This window comes from Homo sapiens, chromosome 3 (assembly GCF_000001405.40).
Source record: "Homo sapiens chromosome 3, GRCh38.p14 Primary Assembly".
In the NCBI taxonomy this organism is placed as follows: Eukaryota; Metazoa; Chordata; class Mammalia; order Primates; family Hominidae; genus Homo; species Homo sapiens.
This window is the reverse complement of record NC_000003.12, coordinates 125,315,495-125,330,953: the sequence shown is the minus strand read 5'-3', so window position 1 is coordinate 125,330,953 and position 15,459 is coordinate 125,315,495. Positions and strand designations below refer to the sequence as shown.

At 34.5% G+C, this 15,459-nt stretch overlaps 1 protein-coding gene across 13 annotated transcripts in view; it reads left to right on the top strand.

Annotated features, from left to right (window-relative positions):
- ZNF148 (zinc finger protein 148) overlaps positions 1 to 15,459 on the top strand; it is a 149,686-nt gene that overhangs the window by 44,401 nt on the left and 89,826 nt on the right. For 10 of the 13 annotated variants that reach the window (NM_001348431.2, NM_001348428.2, NM_001348429.2 and 7 more), the window contains one exon: positions 7,510 to 7,645. The gene's annotated coding sequence lies outside the window, so the exon portion shown is untranslated. The remainder of the gene's footprint in view (positions 1 to 7,509; positions 7,646 to 15,459) is intronic. The other 3 variants (NM_001348426.2, NM_001348430.2, NM_001348436.2) reach the window with 1 other exon arrangement.

Here is a 15,459-nt window from a genome sequence, read left to right as displayed (position 1 = left end):
ACATTATTAATTTTATAAGATGAAGTCAATTATCTTCTCTTAAGATTACTTGCATATCTTTTAGGCCTCATTTCCTTTATGTTAGGAAGGCAAATGATCCTCTCCTTTCTTGTTGGCCTATGTTGGTGCATATATTAAACCTATGCTTTTATCTTTCACACAACATGAAAGAAGATATCTAACAGTTTTCAAGGAGTTTACATATATGTCAGTGGCACATACTCATGTCAGTTATTAATGATCATAAAAATTCTTCTGTTTGTTGTATTTTTAATTTTTAATTTTTTAATAGAGACAGGGTCTCGACTATGTTGCCCAGGCTGGTCCTCAACCCCTGAACTCAAGTAGTCCTCTTGCCTCAGCCTCCCAAAGTGCTAGGATTACAGGTGTGAGCCACTGTACCCGGCCTGATCATAAAAATTCTAAAATTTCTCTGTGCATTTTAAAATTTGTTTTTTGAGAATTTTTTTTTTTTTTTTTTTTTTTTTGAGATAGGGTTTTGCCCTGTTGCCCAGGCTGGAGTGCAGTGGTGTGATCTTGGCTCACTGCACCCTCTACCTGCGGGGCTCAAGTGATCCACCCACCTCAGGCCTCTCAAGTAGCTGGGACCACAGGCACATGCCACCACACCTGGCTAACTTTTGTGTTTTTTCTTGAGATAGGGTTTTGCCATGTTGCCCAGGCGGGTCTTGAACTCCTGAGCTCAAGCAATCCATCCGCCTTGGCCTCCCAAAGTGCTGGGATTATAGACCTGAGCCACTGCGCTCAGCCTGAGAATTCTTTTTCACCTTGTGGATTGAAATTATTTGGAGTTTCAGAAGCCATATTTTAGGATTTTCCTGTTTTTACCATATCTTCTGATAATTGTCATGTTCAACATTTTTCACTTCTTTACCCACGTTTATTATAATAGGTGTATACACTTAGGCAATAGAGAATGTTATAACATCGAAAAAAGGCTTTCCAACCCTTCCCCATTCAGTATAATCATTGTATATCCTTCCAGACAATTTCTATACATATACAAGTATTTATATGTGTGCTTATATTTACACATTTTTTTACACAAATGAGATCACACCATATTATTCAGTAATATTAAAAAATAAACTTCCACATTTTTGCAAATCATTCCTTTTCACTTTATGCTGCATAGTATTCTGATATTTGGACATATCATAATTTGTCTAATTAGTCATCTACTTATGGATATTTAGGCTTTTTTTTTTGCTATTATAAATGATGATGTAGTGAATATTCTTGGGTACACCTTTGCACATATTTAAAAATATATCTGGCTAGGCGCGATCGCTCATGCCTGTAATCCCAGCACTTTGGGAGGCCAAGGCAGGTGGATCACTTGAGGTCAGGAGTTCGAGACTAGCTTGGCCAACATGGTGAAACCCCAGCTATACTAAAAATACAAAAATTAGCCAGACAGGTGGGTGCCTGTTACCCCAGCTACTCGGGAGGCTGAGGCAGAAGAATCGCTTAAACCCAGGAGGCGGAGGTTGCGTTGAGCCAAGATGCCACCACTGCACTCCAGCCTGGGCGACAGAGCGAGACTCTGTCTTTAAAAAAAAAAAAAAAAAATTTTATATATGTAAAATTTTATATATATATAAAAAATTATATATATATCTGTAGTATGAATATACATATATACATATACATATAAATATACATTCATATGTATATACTACAGATATATATATCTATACATATATTTATACTACAGATATATATGTGTTTTTCCATATCTTCTGATAATTGTCATGTTCAACATTTTTCACTTCTTTACTCATGTTTATTATGATAGGTGTATACACTTAGGCAATAGAGAATGTTATAACATCGAAGAAAGGCTTTCCAACCCTTCCCCATTCAGTATAATCATTGTATATCCTTCCAGACAATTTCTATACATGTACAGATATATATATATATATATATATCAGTAGTATAAATTCCGAAGGGAAAAATTATTGGACCAAAGATTATGTACATTTAACAATTTGGTGGATAAATTGCCTAACTCTAAAAAGAAGGCCAAATATCAGTAGTCTATGAGAGAGGGGATCTCTCTATCTCTTTGACAACACTAGCTAGTGTCAAACTTTTTAATATTTGTCAGTTTTTTGTTGATTAGCTTTTCTTTTCTTATGAGTGAGTTTGAGGATTTTCTCCATTATTATTGGCCATAATGTGTGTTTTCAGTTACCAATTTGGTCATGTGCTTTGCCCTTTTATGGAGCTCTTTATATACTTGTATATTAAGGAAAGGAGCCTCTTGTCATTTTTTTTTTAAGTTTTCCAATTGACAGTTGTATATACTTATGAGGGTATAATGTTTTTTATTTTTGCTTGACACATACATAGTGTATATTTATGGTAACATACATAGTGTATATTTAAATTTTACACACTATTAAAATTACTGTATATTCAAAATAAACACTTTATATATTTTGATACATGCTTACATTGTGTAATGATCAAATCTGGCTAATTAGAGTATTTTCATCACTTCAAATATTTACCATTTCTTTGTGAGCCTCTTGTCATTTATTAGACAAATTACTTTTGCTCATCTTTTGATTTTATTATTTTGCCCAATAGAAGTTTTCATTTTTTATTGTTGAATATAGTAATCTCATCTTCCATGGCTGAGGTGGGCAGTGAAGAACAGTTCTGTGTTAGATTTAAAGGTCTTTATCATTGATTATAGGGCTCACTTTTCGCTCCAGGTTGTAGCATCTCTGAATGACATGAGTCTCTAACTTATACTTTGACTTTTGCTTCTTTTTCTTTTTTTTCTTAAATTAGTTTGGCCAGGTGTCTTTAGGAAGAAAAAGAAATATACATAAATAATTATCTTTTAAAATATAAATAATAGGTATTGGGACTCATGATGGAAGAATAGGTATACATTCATAATGACAACTACAAAGATAAAATGCCTGAGAGCATATTACTTAAAAAAAAATTTGAAACTGTATGGAAGAATGAGTATTTGAATCAGTTACATTTTTTGATAGGAGGATACATATGAGACTCTTCTTCAAATATATATTTAAAGCTGTATATTTTAAGTATTGCGTTTGCTGCATCCTGTAAATTTTGATATTTGTTTTCATTTTCATTAGTTAAAAATATTTTCTAATTTCCCTTTACATTTTGTCTTTGTTATTTAGAAGTTTGAAGTTTAATTTCCAAATGTTTGTGGATTTCCCAGTTTTTTAGTTGATATCAAATTCAATTCTGGTATGGTTAGAGAACATATAAATGTATTTGTTTGTAAGACAGGGTCTTGCTGTGTTGCCCAGGCTGGTCTTGAACTCCAGGGCTTAAGCAATCCATCCACCTCAGGCTCCCGAAGTGCTGGGGTTACAGGCATGGGCCACGTTGTGCGGCTCAGACAACATATTTTTATGACTTCAATCCATTTAAGTTTAGTGAGACTTATTTTATGGCCCCGCGTGTGGCCTGTCCTAGAGAATGTTTTAAAACTGTATGTATTCTAGTATTGTTTGGTAGTGTTTTCTATATATGCCACTTAGGTATAGTTGGTTGATAGTGTGGTTCAGGTCTTCTCTGTCTTTGCTAATTTTCTGTCTAATTATTCTGTCACTTATTTAGAGTGGGACATTGAGATCTCCAAATATAATTGTTGAATTTTTAATTTTTCCTTTCAATAATGTTAGTTACTGCTTCATTATTTTGGGACTCTTTTTAGGTGCATACACGGTTATTATATCTTCCTGATGTTTTGACTGTTTATTATTACGAAATATCTTTCTTTGTCTCTATAGTCTTAAAGTCTGTTTTGTCTGATGTTAATATAGCCATTCTGTCTCTTACAGTTACTGCTTCTATAGTATATCCTTTTTTTCCCATCCTTTTACTTTCAGTTTTGAATGTAGGATATGTCTTGTTGACAGCATATAGTTGGAATTTGTGTTTTTATCCTTTCCGACAGTCGCTGCCTTTCCACTGGACTATTTAGACCATTCATATTTAATTAGGGATATGGTTGGATTTACATTTGCCATTTTGGTATCTGCTACACACACACACTATATATATATATATCTTTATATACATATATATCTGTATACATATATAAAAAGATATATATCTTTACATATATAAAAAGATATCTTGATGTATGTATATAAAGATATATATATCTTTATATGTATATATACATATAAATATGTATATTTATATACATATATAAAAAGATATATATACATATATAAAGCAAGTATATATATATATACTCATATATATAGTGTCATTTCACTATGGTTTATATATGATATGATCCTTTATATATATATGTATCTTTGCATAGATACAGGTAGATATCACCTATGTTTTTGTTCCTTTGTTTCCTCTATTGCCTTTTGTGTTAAATACTTTTTAGTGTGCCATTTTAATTACTCCATTGATTTTTTTAACTATATTTTTAAAGATATTTTCTTTGTGGTTGCTGTCAGGATTATGCATTTTAACAGGCTGCTTATTATCAGTAAGATAAACTTTCTTCCAATGTAGGTCCATTTTCTCTTCTTTATTGTACTGCTATTGTAATATACATCTGTATATATTATAAACCCAGTAGTACAGTGTCGTGATCATTGCTTTATACATTCTTAGGTCTTTTAAAGGGAGGAAGAAATGAGAAAAATATGTTTATGGAGTGTTTTTTGAATTAATCCACATATTTGCCATTTCTGATGCTCTTCAATTCTTTCTGTGGATTTAAGTCTGATGTGTTTTCCTTTCAGCTTAATGGGCTTCCTTTAGTGTTTGTTTAAGGCAGGTCTACTAGCAAAAAAAATTTTCTCAATATTTGGTTATCTGGGAATATTTTTTCATTTTTGAAGGATAGTTTTGCTGTCTTCTTGGTTGACAGCTGTATCTTTCAGCTTTTTGAATATGTGATTTCCCTGTCTTTCTTGCCTCTATTGTTTCTAACTGGAAGTTAGCCACTAATCTCTGCATATGCTGAATCATTATTCTCTTCCTGCTTTCAAGATTTTTCTCCTTGGGTTTGCTTTCAACAAGTTTGACTATGTTGTGTCCAGGTGTAGGTTGCTTTATATTTTCCTACTTGAAATTCATTGTGCTTCTTAGATCTGTAGATTTATTTTCCTTAGAAAAATTAAATTTGGGGCCAGGTGTGGTGGCTCATACCTATAATCCCAGCACAGGTGGGGATTTGGGAGGCCAAGATGGTCAGATCACCTGAGGTCAGGAGTTCGAGACCAGCTTGGCTAACATGGTGAAACCCTGTCTCTACAAAAATACAAAAATTAGCCAGGCATGATGGAGGGTTCCTGTAATCCCAGCTACTCGGGAGGCTGAGGCAGGAGAATCGCTTGAACCGGGGAGGCAGAGGTTGCACTGAGCCAAGATTGTACTATCGCACTCCAGCCTGGGCAACTGAGTGAGACTCTGTCTCAAAAAAAAAGTAAAAGTAAGTTTGGCAAGTTTTTGGCCAATATTTTATTAATTTTTTTTTTCTGCTCTTTCTCTTCTTTCCTGGTACTCAAAATGTTGGTAAGCTGAATGTTGTTCCATACGTCTTTGAGGCTCTGTTCATTTTACTTCCATCTTTTTCTACTCTGTTTTTCAGAGTGGATGGTTTCTATTGATGTATCTTAAAGGTCACTGATTTTCTTTTGCCATAAATCTGTTGAGCCCTTCTGATGAATTTTTTATTTCTGTTACTGTATTCTTAAACTTCAGGATTTCCATTTGGTTCTTTTACATAATTTCTGCATCTTTGTTGAAGATCTCTTATTTGTTGATTGCAGTTTTTCATAATTAAAAAACTTTAAAACATGAGTTCCTTTTAACATATTTAACATATGTATAATAGATATTTTACATAATATATTGTAACAACTCTGGATTGTGATGAGCCCCTCCCCTCTTATTGTTACTGTTGTCATTTCACTATAGTTTATATATGATACAATCCTACTGAGAAAAATAAATTTTACTTTGCACAAAAGTGTATCTGGCAAAAGAGATATACATGAATATCCAGGAAAATTCTGAAATGCAGGAGTACTGAGAGGTGAATAGTTCTACAAGAATTTGAGCTCTTAAAAAAATATATAAACTGTTGAAATGTTTTTTAAAAAATGAATTAATATTATACTTTCTGAAGTTCAAAGAGGAAATCATTAGTGATATGGATGTAGGTGGGAAAGACTATTTATTCTTTTTGCCTTTGTACCATCATAAGCTAATGTAAAATCATAGGATCTTTCATGTATCATCTGGTCTCCACACTTCTTGTGAAGGAGTGTATGTGAACTATTCTTGATAGATAGGAATCTAATATTTTAAGAACCTCCAGGGTAGGAAATTCCATAAAATCTTTAGTTTGTTAACTATGCTCAGAATACTTACTGTCAGGAAGTTTTCTTCCTGTGTATAGCCTGTACTCTGTTTTTGTTTTGAGTGTGCTAAAAATTTTCCATATGATTTTATCTATCTTTTTTGTCAGCTTTTCTCTGTCACTGGTAATCTTGCTGGGAATCTTGCTGATTTTATAACCATAATCGTTTCTATTGTTTTTGGCCACTAGAATTTTATGTTGAATTTATATAATAGTTTCTTTTAAGTTTTGGCATGCGTTAGTTCTGTTTGTTTGTAAGGCCTGCCATTGTGTTTCTTCTCTCTTCACTTCATAGACTTTAACAAAGCAGGTATGATTACTGTTTGTAAGTAGTTTCTTTTTATTTTTTTTATTATTATACTTTAAGTTTTAGGGTACATGTGCACAATGTGCAGGTTAGTTACATATGTATACATGTGCCATGCTGGTGCACTGCACCCTGTAAGTAGTTTCTTAAGTTTTGTTTTTTCTAACCTTTTAGGTTTGTAATTATCTGAATTTCCTTGAATATCCTGTATCTTTGAGGCTGTAGACTCCACATCTAGGCAATTGTTCTTTTTTCCTTTTTTTTTTTTTTGAGACAGAGTCTCGCTCTGTTGCCCAGGCTGGAGTGCAGTGGCGCAATCTTGGCTCACTGCAAGCTCTGCCTCCTGGGTTCACGCCATTCTCCTGCCTCAGCCTCCGAGTAGCTGGGATTACAGGCGCCGGCTGCCACGCCTGGCTAATTTTTTGTATTTTTAGTAGAGACGGGGTTTCATCATGTTAGCCAGGATGGTCTCAATCTCCTGACCTCGTGATCCGCCTGCCTCGGCCTCCCAAAGTGCTGGGATTACAGGCGTGAGCAACTGCGACTGGCCGGCAATTGTTCTTTATAAGGCCAAGTTTATTTCTCATTTACTGTCTACTTACCACTATTGTATTTTCCCAATTTCAAACATAAAAACAAGTCAGTACATTGGTCATTCAGTCATAACTTACTGTATTTAGAAAGAATTTTCACTTCAGTATTCATACCAATTTGCACATATTATATTTGTATAGTATCTTTTCCTACCATAAATAATGTTTGTTGTGTGTGTGTTTTATTGTAGGAATCGGATGGCATAAGTGATTAAGGTGGTATTGAGGATTTCTGAAGCCTATGAAAGGTAGAAACTCAACCATGATTTCTTTTTCAACTCTACAGCATTCCTTTCCTTGAAGTCTTCGTTTTTACCTTAGTCTCGGGTAATTTTAATACTTATTTTTCATAATCTTGAATAAATAAGTTTTTTCAAATATGAAGTCATTGTGTTCAGCTGCTAGAATTTTATACTGAATTTATATAATAGTTTCTTAAAGTTTTGGTATTTATATTTGGAAGAAACTAGTTTTTTTCCTGAGAAAAGAAATTTAAATGATGAATAATGATGTCATTTTAGACTCTAACACAACAAAAATGTGTAGTCTTAAGTGAAATTTAATTGAGAGTTATTTTCTTGGTTTAACACTTTTTCTCAACAGGGTATAGCATTTTTTACCCCCTATCCTGAACACATATACACTCATTAAGTTTCCCAGAATTTTCAGAGAAACTGTTTTCATACCGAGGAAAGTTAGACATGTTAGTCAAATTTAATGATGTTTGCTATATAATTTTTAAAATGTGAGAAAACATATCAGTTTTTATACATCTATACATGTTGTATGTATGCCTGCACTAATATAAGGAAGCAGTCTTATAGATAATTCAGTAATCACTTAAGTTTGATATATTAGTATATAGACTTGGCTACTGTGACAGAGGCTTATAAAGGTAGAAATATATTTATATTTACTTGAAAAGTCTGTGTAAACTATCTTGAGATTAAATGGAGGCTGCAAAATCACTGTGTCCCAGGGCTCCTTTGTCTTGCTCTGCTCTTCTTCTATGCAGTTTCTGTATTGTGGGCGAGGATGGTTACCATTGTGTCTGCTAATAAGAAGAAAAAGAGAAGGGCATTCTCTTTACCTTTAAGAGGAGTTTGTGTATATCACTTTCACTCAGATCCCTCTGGCTCTTTGTCACGTCACAACCAGTTGCAAAGGAGGCTGGGAAGTGAGTGACTCTGACCTAGGCAGCCATATGTTGCACTTAATTTTTATTACTGCATAAGAAGGAGAGAACAGATTCTGGGGAGATAGCCAGCTATCTGTCACATTAAGGTTTGAGTCAGATTTATTTTCATTAAAAAAAAAAAAATGGCCTCAGGCCTGTAATCCCAGCAGGCTGGCAGGCTGAGGCTGGTGGATCACGAAGTCAGGACATCGAGACCATCCTGGCTCACACGGTGAAACCCTGTCTCTACATACAAAAAAAATTAGCCGTGCGAGGTGGTGGGCCCCTGTAGTCCCGGCTACTCGGGAGGCTGAGGCAGGAGAATGGCGGGAACCTGGGAGGCATAGCTTGCAGTGAGCTGAGATGGCACCACTGCACTCCAGCCTGGGTGAGAGCGAGACTCTCTCTCAAAAAAAAAAAAAAAAAAAAAAGCCGTTGATTATTTAAACAGTTAACTTTTTTGTTGTTGTTCTGGAATGAGTCTTGGTTACTGTATAGTATGTATTAAAAATAACCATTAGCAATCTAGGCATAGTGGTATGTGCACAGTCCCATCTCATGTAATTAAAAAAAAAAATTAGGTGTTTAACATTTGTTCATAGTATACAGGGAAATTTTGTTTTAAGAAGTTTTTTTAAAATATTTATTATGTAAGATTACAGAAACTATAGTTTGAATATTAATGTTTGAATTATTGATATTTGCATAAAATGTAATGGATGCAATGACTAGATCCAACAGAATGTCAGATTCTGCTTTGCGTGAACTTTTTTTTTACCTTTTCCCTCCCCCTCTCCTTGTTAAGATAAATTATAGCTGTTTCTTAAACTGTTTGGATTTCCATAAATTTGATGTTTTAGTATTTCTAAATACTACTATCTTCTTGATGTTACATTGTTTTACAAAACAGATGATAAGTATTTGGAATGCAGAATATGCCTAGATTCTGTTTTATTTGAGAGGGGCTTCAGTGTGGTATAGAAATGCCTGTTAACTTTGACTTATTCAAATATTTATAAATTATTTTTCTGTGGTGAAAAAATAGAGTTTTTTTTAAAGCTTTTAGGTTTTTAAAGTCATATAAAATGATTATTGTTAACGTGTAAGTTTTCTGATTAATACTTGTGTTAGCAGCTATTGAAATAGATATTTGTTTAAACATCCTTTCTTGTTAGCACTGATCAGAGACCATTTTGTCCAGTTACCATTATTATAAATGATGTTCCTATTAGGATATTTTGAAATAGTAGTACTTTAAAAATTAACATGGTTTAGAAGATATGTTTTATAGATACAAAATGGTAGTTATACAGAGGTATATCTGAAGAGGTCTTTGAATGTACTTAGACAAGAAATAGATTTTGTTTTATTAATAAGAGATGAAGTAGTTTCTGCTTAGATCAAAACTATACTTTTCAAGGATGAAAGCAAATACAAAACTTCTTCAGAATAACAAATAGCAAATTTGTTAAAGGTTCTGGTATTAATCATGGGTTTCATCTCACCAAATGATCTGGAGGCCGGTTGATATTTGTATTTCTAATGCTGATATTTTTAAGGTATAATTTCTCACGGTTAGAAACATAGGTTAGAAATGTTAATATCCAAGTTAATGTAACTGGCATCCTCCAAATAACAGAGTGCTTTGGATCAGAAGTAATTTGTGAAATCTAGCTTTTTTCTTTTACCTGTTTTCAGAACAAGTTCCTTTGAGTGCTTCTCTTGGCTTACAAGTGAAGTTTCATTTTAGATTGAATGGGTTCTGTTACAAAGTCAGGGGAAGAGGTATTACTGAATTTGTGAGAATATTTTAAGTTGGGAATTACTCTTTTTATACAAAAGACGATGATGATTAGGTTCAGAAGCTTGCCTATTATAACCTGCTTTGACTCATAGTTGAAGTTCCATATTATTCAAAAAAGTTTATGGAAAATAATATTACTACCAAACTCAATAAATGAAACAGAAACGTAGGATCTCTAAGTGAGAAATATTTATTTCTTTCATGCTCAAATGCAGATTAATTAAAGGTAATAAGTGACACATGGATGTTCATATACATTCAGAAAGGGAACTTGGTGCTTTAAAAAATTTTAGAGCATATAGCACAAGCCTTCAAATCTGTTTTCATTTTAAAATGTACAGCCCTCTTTTTTTGATACAGGTGTATCATTAGGACTGACTGGTTTTACATTTATTAGCCATATTTAGGATTATTTTTAAATTTTCAATTGGAATGGGAAGGTAGAGAGATTTTCCTGGTAAGGCTTTGAGAAAACAGAGGGAGGAAGGTAGCTTAAGAAGATACATTTAAACACATGAAAAAGAAAGAATGGCTGAGGAGAAATTCACTGAGATATGAGTAACAGATAGAAAATTGGAAAATAGAAAACGTGGAAAGTGTTGAATCCTCCCACAGGAGAAAAGGGGATTCTGTGTCGGAAAGTTCTCCCATAGTAGCCATGAGGTGGAGTAGTCAGCTAAGGACAGTTTGATTGCTTTGCCAAGCCAAGCAATGATGACAGAAGGCCTTAAGAGCAGGTGGTGAGAGGACAATGAGAGTTCAACTACTTCCTAATGTGTCCAGGGCCTTTTAAAGTCAGGAAATAGTGTGATAAGGTAAAAAGTGCATTGAGTCAGGTAAGTCTGGTTTGAAATCCCAGTTTACTTCTGAGCTATGTATCCTTGGGTAAGCCCCAATTTGTCTGTTAAATGGGGATATGCTGTTACTGTCTTGAGGGTTATTGTAAATATTAAGTAAGGTAATATATTTAAAGGTGCCCAGCACAGTGTCTTACATCTCAGCACACATTAGTTGTCTTTCCTCTCCAGGTTTTCATAATTTCTGAATTTTAGAATACAGACATAAACATATTAATTTGGAAAGACCTCATTAATTGTATAAAACTCCCATTACAAAAAACCTCAGCAAGCATTTTTTTCCCAGTTTTTAATTGACCCTTGTAGAACAAGCAAGCATTTTTAAGAGCCTTGTATATTTGATTAAAAATGAGTAGTAGTGCCCAACTTGTCCATTTGTAATGCTTCTGTTAACTTTGTCCTCTGAAGATGAGCCCAGACAGTTCCCCGAGTTTTGGACATAATTGTCAAAAACATTTGTATTAAAAGCCTATGTATTTAATTCCTTATTAAAAGCCCCGACCGAAAACTGTTTACTCTGTTTCAACTTAATATAAATCTATAAAGCTTAGTTTTTAATTACTTACACATAATTGATTAGAAACATTAAATTAGAAGGTGACCACAAGAAGAGTCAGCTATTTCTTCTGGTAGACAGGAGAAAGGTAATGGCAGATAATTTACGTTCTTTTTAAGTAGCCCTCTGCCACTAGGCTTAAATGACTAGAGGGTTACCTAAGCCACTGCAGTTAGGCTTTTACACAGCTGAACTAAACACGTGTCAATAGGAAGGATGTTAGGTGTGTGGGGGGGTTGGGAGTGGGAGCAGGGAGGGGAAATTTAATGGAACTGGAAGTTGTGTTGTGGCCCCCTAGATACCCCTGTAGACAGTTTCTCTCGCAGAGGGATGGTGATGAGGGAAGAATAAATCATGGAAGCGGGGGAAGAATGCAGAATTTGAAGTAATCTGCGAAAGGGAGATTTAGGAGAAATTGGCCTGAGTTGGTCTCCTTCCTTTCTCTTTCCTGCTCCGTTGTAGTTTTCATCATTCTCTGCTCTGGGTAACTTGCAGTGCAGAGGAAGGATTGCCTCTCACTCTTAGCTGAATTAGCCCTTGGACATCATTTTCCAGTCTGTCTTGGTTCTTAACAGCGCTGCCATTTTGTACTCTGTGGTGTCAGCTGCCTAAGGTCTCTACAAGATAAAGGGTCTTCACAGGGAGCTCAGAGTGGCTTATTACTCCACGTATTTTCTTTTCTTTCCAGTTGGATAGAGGTTCCTTGAAGCTGAAATTAATTGTTTAGTTTTTTTTTCCCTTCCAAATCAGTCTTCCATGTGAGTAATAAGATTTAAAGGAAGCATTCTTTCTTTCCTCCTCTCTTCTGTGTAGTATCCCTAGCCCCTGACTTTCCATTAATTATACACACATTTGGATTAGAAAGCAGTTGGCTTTTTGAGGAGTTAACAGGAAGAGACAGTTAATTATTTACATATTAGTGTGGCTTGATTACCTCAGTTTTCTTTCTTTACACTTGGCTGATCCTCCCTAAAAATAATGAAATTAGAGGAGGGATATGGCATGTGTTAGCTTTTGAGCATGGGACCTTTTGTTGTATTTGGATTTTTGAATATGCAGTGAGGCACATGAGAGCTTTGACTGAGACCACTTAAGAGTTTAAGTGGGAAAGGTTAAAACCATAATGGCATAGAAGGGAGGTGCAAGGACAATAAAAATGTATTTTTTTTTGTACTTTTATCTTTCATTATTAAGTGTAGCTTTATCCTATTCCCTTTTTCCATGGGCCTGGTAAAATTTCCTGGCCAGAGACAGGTTGAGGTATATGATAGAGGTATGACTCACTTTGTCTTTGAAACATATTTTAAAATAACACTAAGTCTTTGTTTTAAAATAAAGAAGAAAAACAAGACCTAGAGTCAATTCTGTTACTCATACCCTGTTAGCTTGCCGTAACATTAAAGAAAGAAAAGATGTTGGTACATGAAAAAGGAATAATAAAAAGTCAAAATTAGTCTTCTTCATGAAGATCCTTTCTTATTTCATTTTCCAAATTCCAGGTAAGTTTCTTACCAGAAAAAAAAAAAAATATATATATATATATGTGTGTGTGTATATGTATTTCTCTCTCTCTCTCTCTATATATATATATATATATAAAAGATCTTACTATCTACATAGTTCTCCTTGATTTTTTTTCACTTAATGTATCTTGGAGAATCAGCACATAATGCTAACGTCATTCCTTTTAATGGCTGCATGTGTTCCATTGTATGGCTGAGTCATAATTAATTTAACAAGTCACCTGTCTATGGATGCTTAAATTTGTTTCCAGTCTTTTCCCATTGAAGGGTTGTAGCAAACATCCTTATACTTACTTCTTTGGTGAATGTCTATGAATAAACCCATAAGGTTGTATACTGTATATCCCTAGCAGTGAGATTGCTGGATCAAGAGTACATACAGTTTTCATTTTGATAGATATTTCCAAAGCTCATTTTAAAACTTTGTCTTATTTAAAACCTTGTGTCCATTGATATTGGAGTCTGTTTTGGTATCTTAGTACTTGCTGGTATTTTGGGGAAATTTCAGGGTATTTCAAAAACAGTTTCTAGGCCAGACAGTTTAACTCCAAATATATGCCTTAATTTGGGGCCATAGGAATAAGGAACTTAGTAAAAAGGAAGTGAGATTTCTTTTTCTTTGCATGTGGTTGGTTTTCAGGAATATTTTTGAAGAGGTCATTTGTTTTTCATTTGGAGTATTTCCACTTTGTCTTCACTTTACTACTTCTGTATCAAGGTGTGCTCTCTTCCTGTTCCAAGTCTCTCACTCTAGTACTTTATGCCTTTTTTCCAAAATATTATCTGTCCCCAGAGTACTACTACTTCCTCAATATTTATTGTTTTGGCTTGATGCTAGGCATAAGATTAATTTAAAAAAATCACATCGAGCTAAAAATCTTCTGCACAGGAAAGGATACAGTCAATAAAGTGAAGAGACAACCCACAGAATGGGGGAAAATATTTGCAAACTACCCATCTGACAAGGGATTAATAACCAGAATATATACGGAGCTCAAACAACTCTATAGGAAAAAAAATCTAGTAATTCAATCAAAAAATGGGCAAAAGATTTCAATAGACATTTCTCAAAAGAAGAGATATAAATGGCAGACAGGCATATGAAAAGGTGCTCAACATTGTTGATCATCAGAAAAATGGAGATCAAAACTGCAATGAGATGTCATCTCACTCCAGTTAAAATGGCTTATATCCAAAAGACAGGCAATTACCAATGCTGGTGAGGATGTGGAGAAAAGGGAACCCTTCTATGCTGTTGGTGGGAATGTAAATTAGTACAACCACTGTGGAGAAAAGTTTGGTGGTTCCTCAAAAAACTAAAAATTGAGCTAGCATACAATCTAGCAATCGCACTGCTGGGTATATTTCCCCTAAAAAGGAAATCAGTATATTAAAAGATAGTTGCACTCCTGTATTTGTTGCAGCACTGTTTACAATAGCTAAGACTTGGAAGCCACCTAAGTGTCTGTGAACAGATGAGTGGATAAAGAAAATGTACATATGCACAATGGAGTAGTATTCAGCCATAAAGAAAGAATGAGATCCAGTCATTTGCAACAACACGGGTGAAACTGGAGATCATTATGTTAAATGAAATAAGCCAGGCACAGAAAGACAAATGCATGTTCTCATTTATTTGTGGGATCTAAAAATCAAAACAGTTGAACTCATGGATATAGAGAGTAAAAGGGGATAGTTACTAGAGGCTGAGAAGGGGAAGGTGGGGATAGTTAATGGGCACACACAAAAAAATAGAAAAAATGAATAAGACCTACTATTTGATAGCACAATAGGATGACTATAGTCAATAACAACTTGATTGTGCATTTAAAAATAAAGAGTGTAATTGGGTTGTTTGTAGCTCAAAGGGTAAATTATTGAGGGGATGGATACCCCATTCTCCATGATTTGCTTATTTCACGTTGCGTGCTTGTATCAAAATATCTCATGTACCCCATAAATGTATATACTTATGTATATATTTACTCCCTCCATTTTTTTTTTTTTTTTTGAGATGGAGTCCTGCTCTGTCACCAGGTTGGAGTGCAGTGGCTCGATCTCGGCTCACTGCACCCTTCCCCTCCTGGGTTCAAATGATTGTCCTGCCTCAGCCTCCTGAGTAGCTGGGACTACAGGCATGCACCATCATGCCCAGCTAATTTTTTTGTATTTTTAGTAGAGACAGGGTTTCACCATGTTGGCCAGGATGGTCTCGATCTCCTGA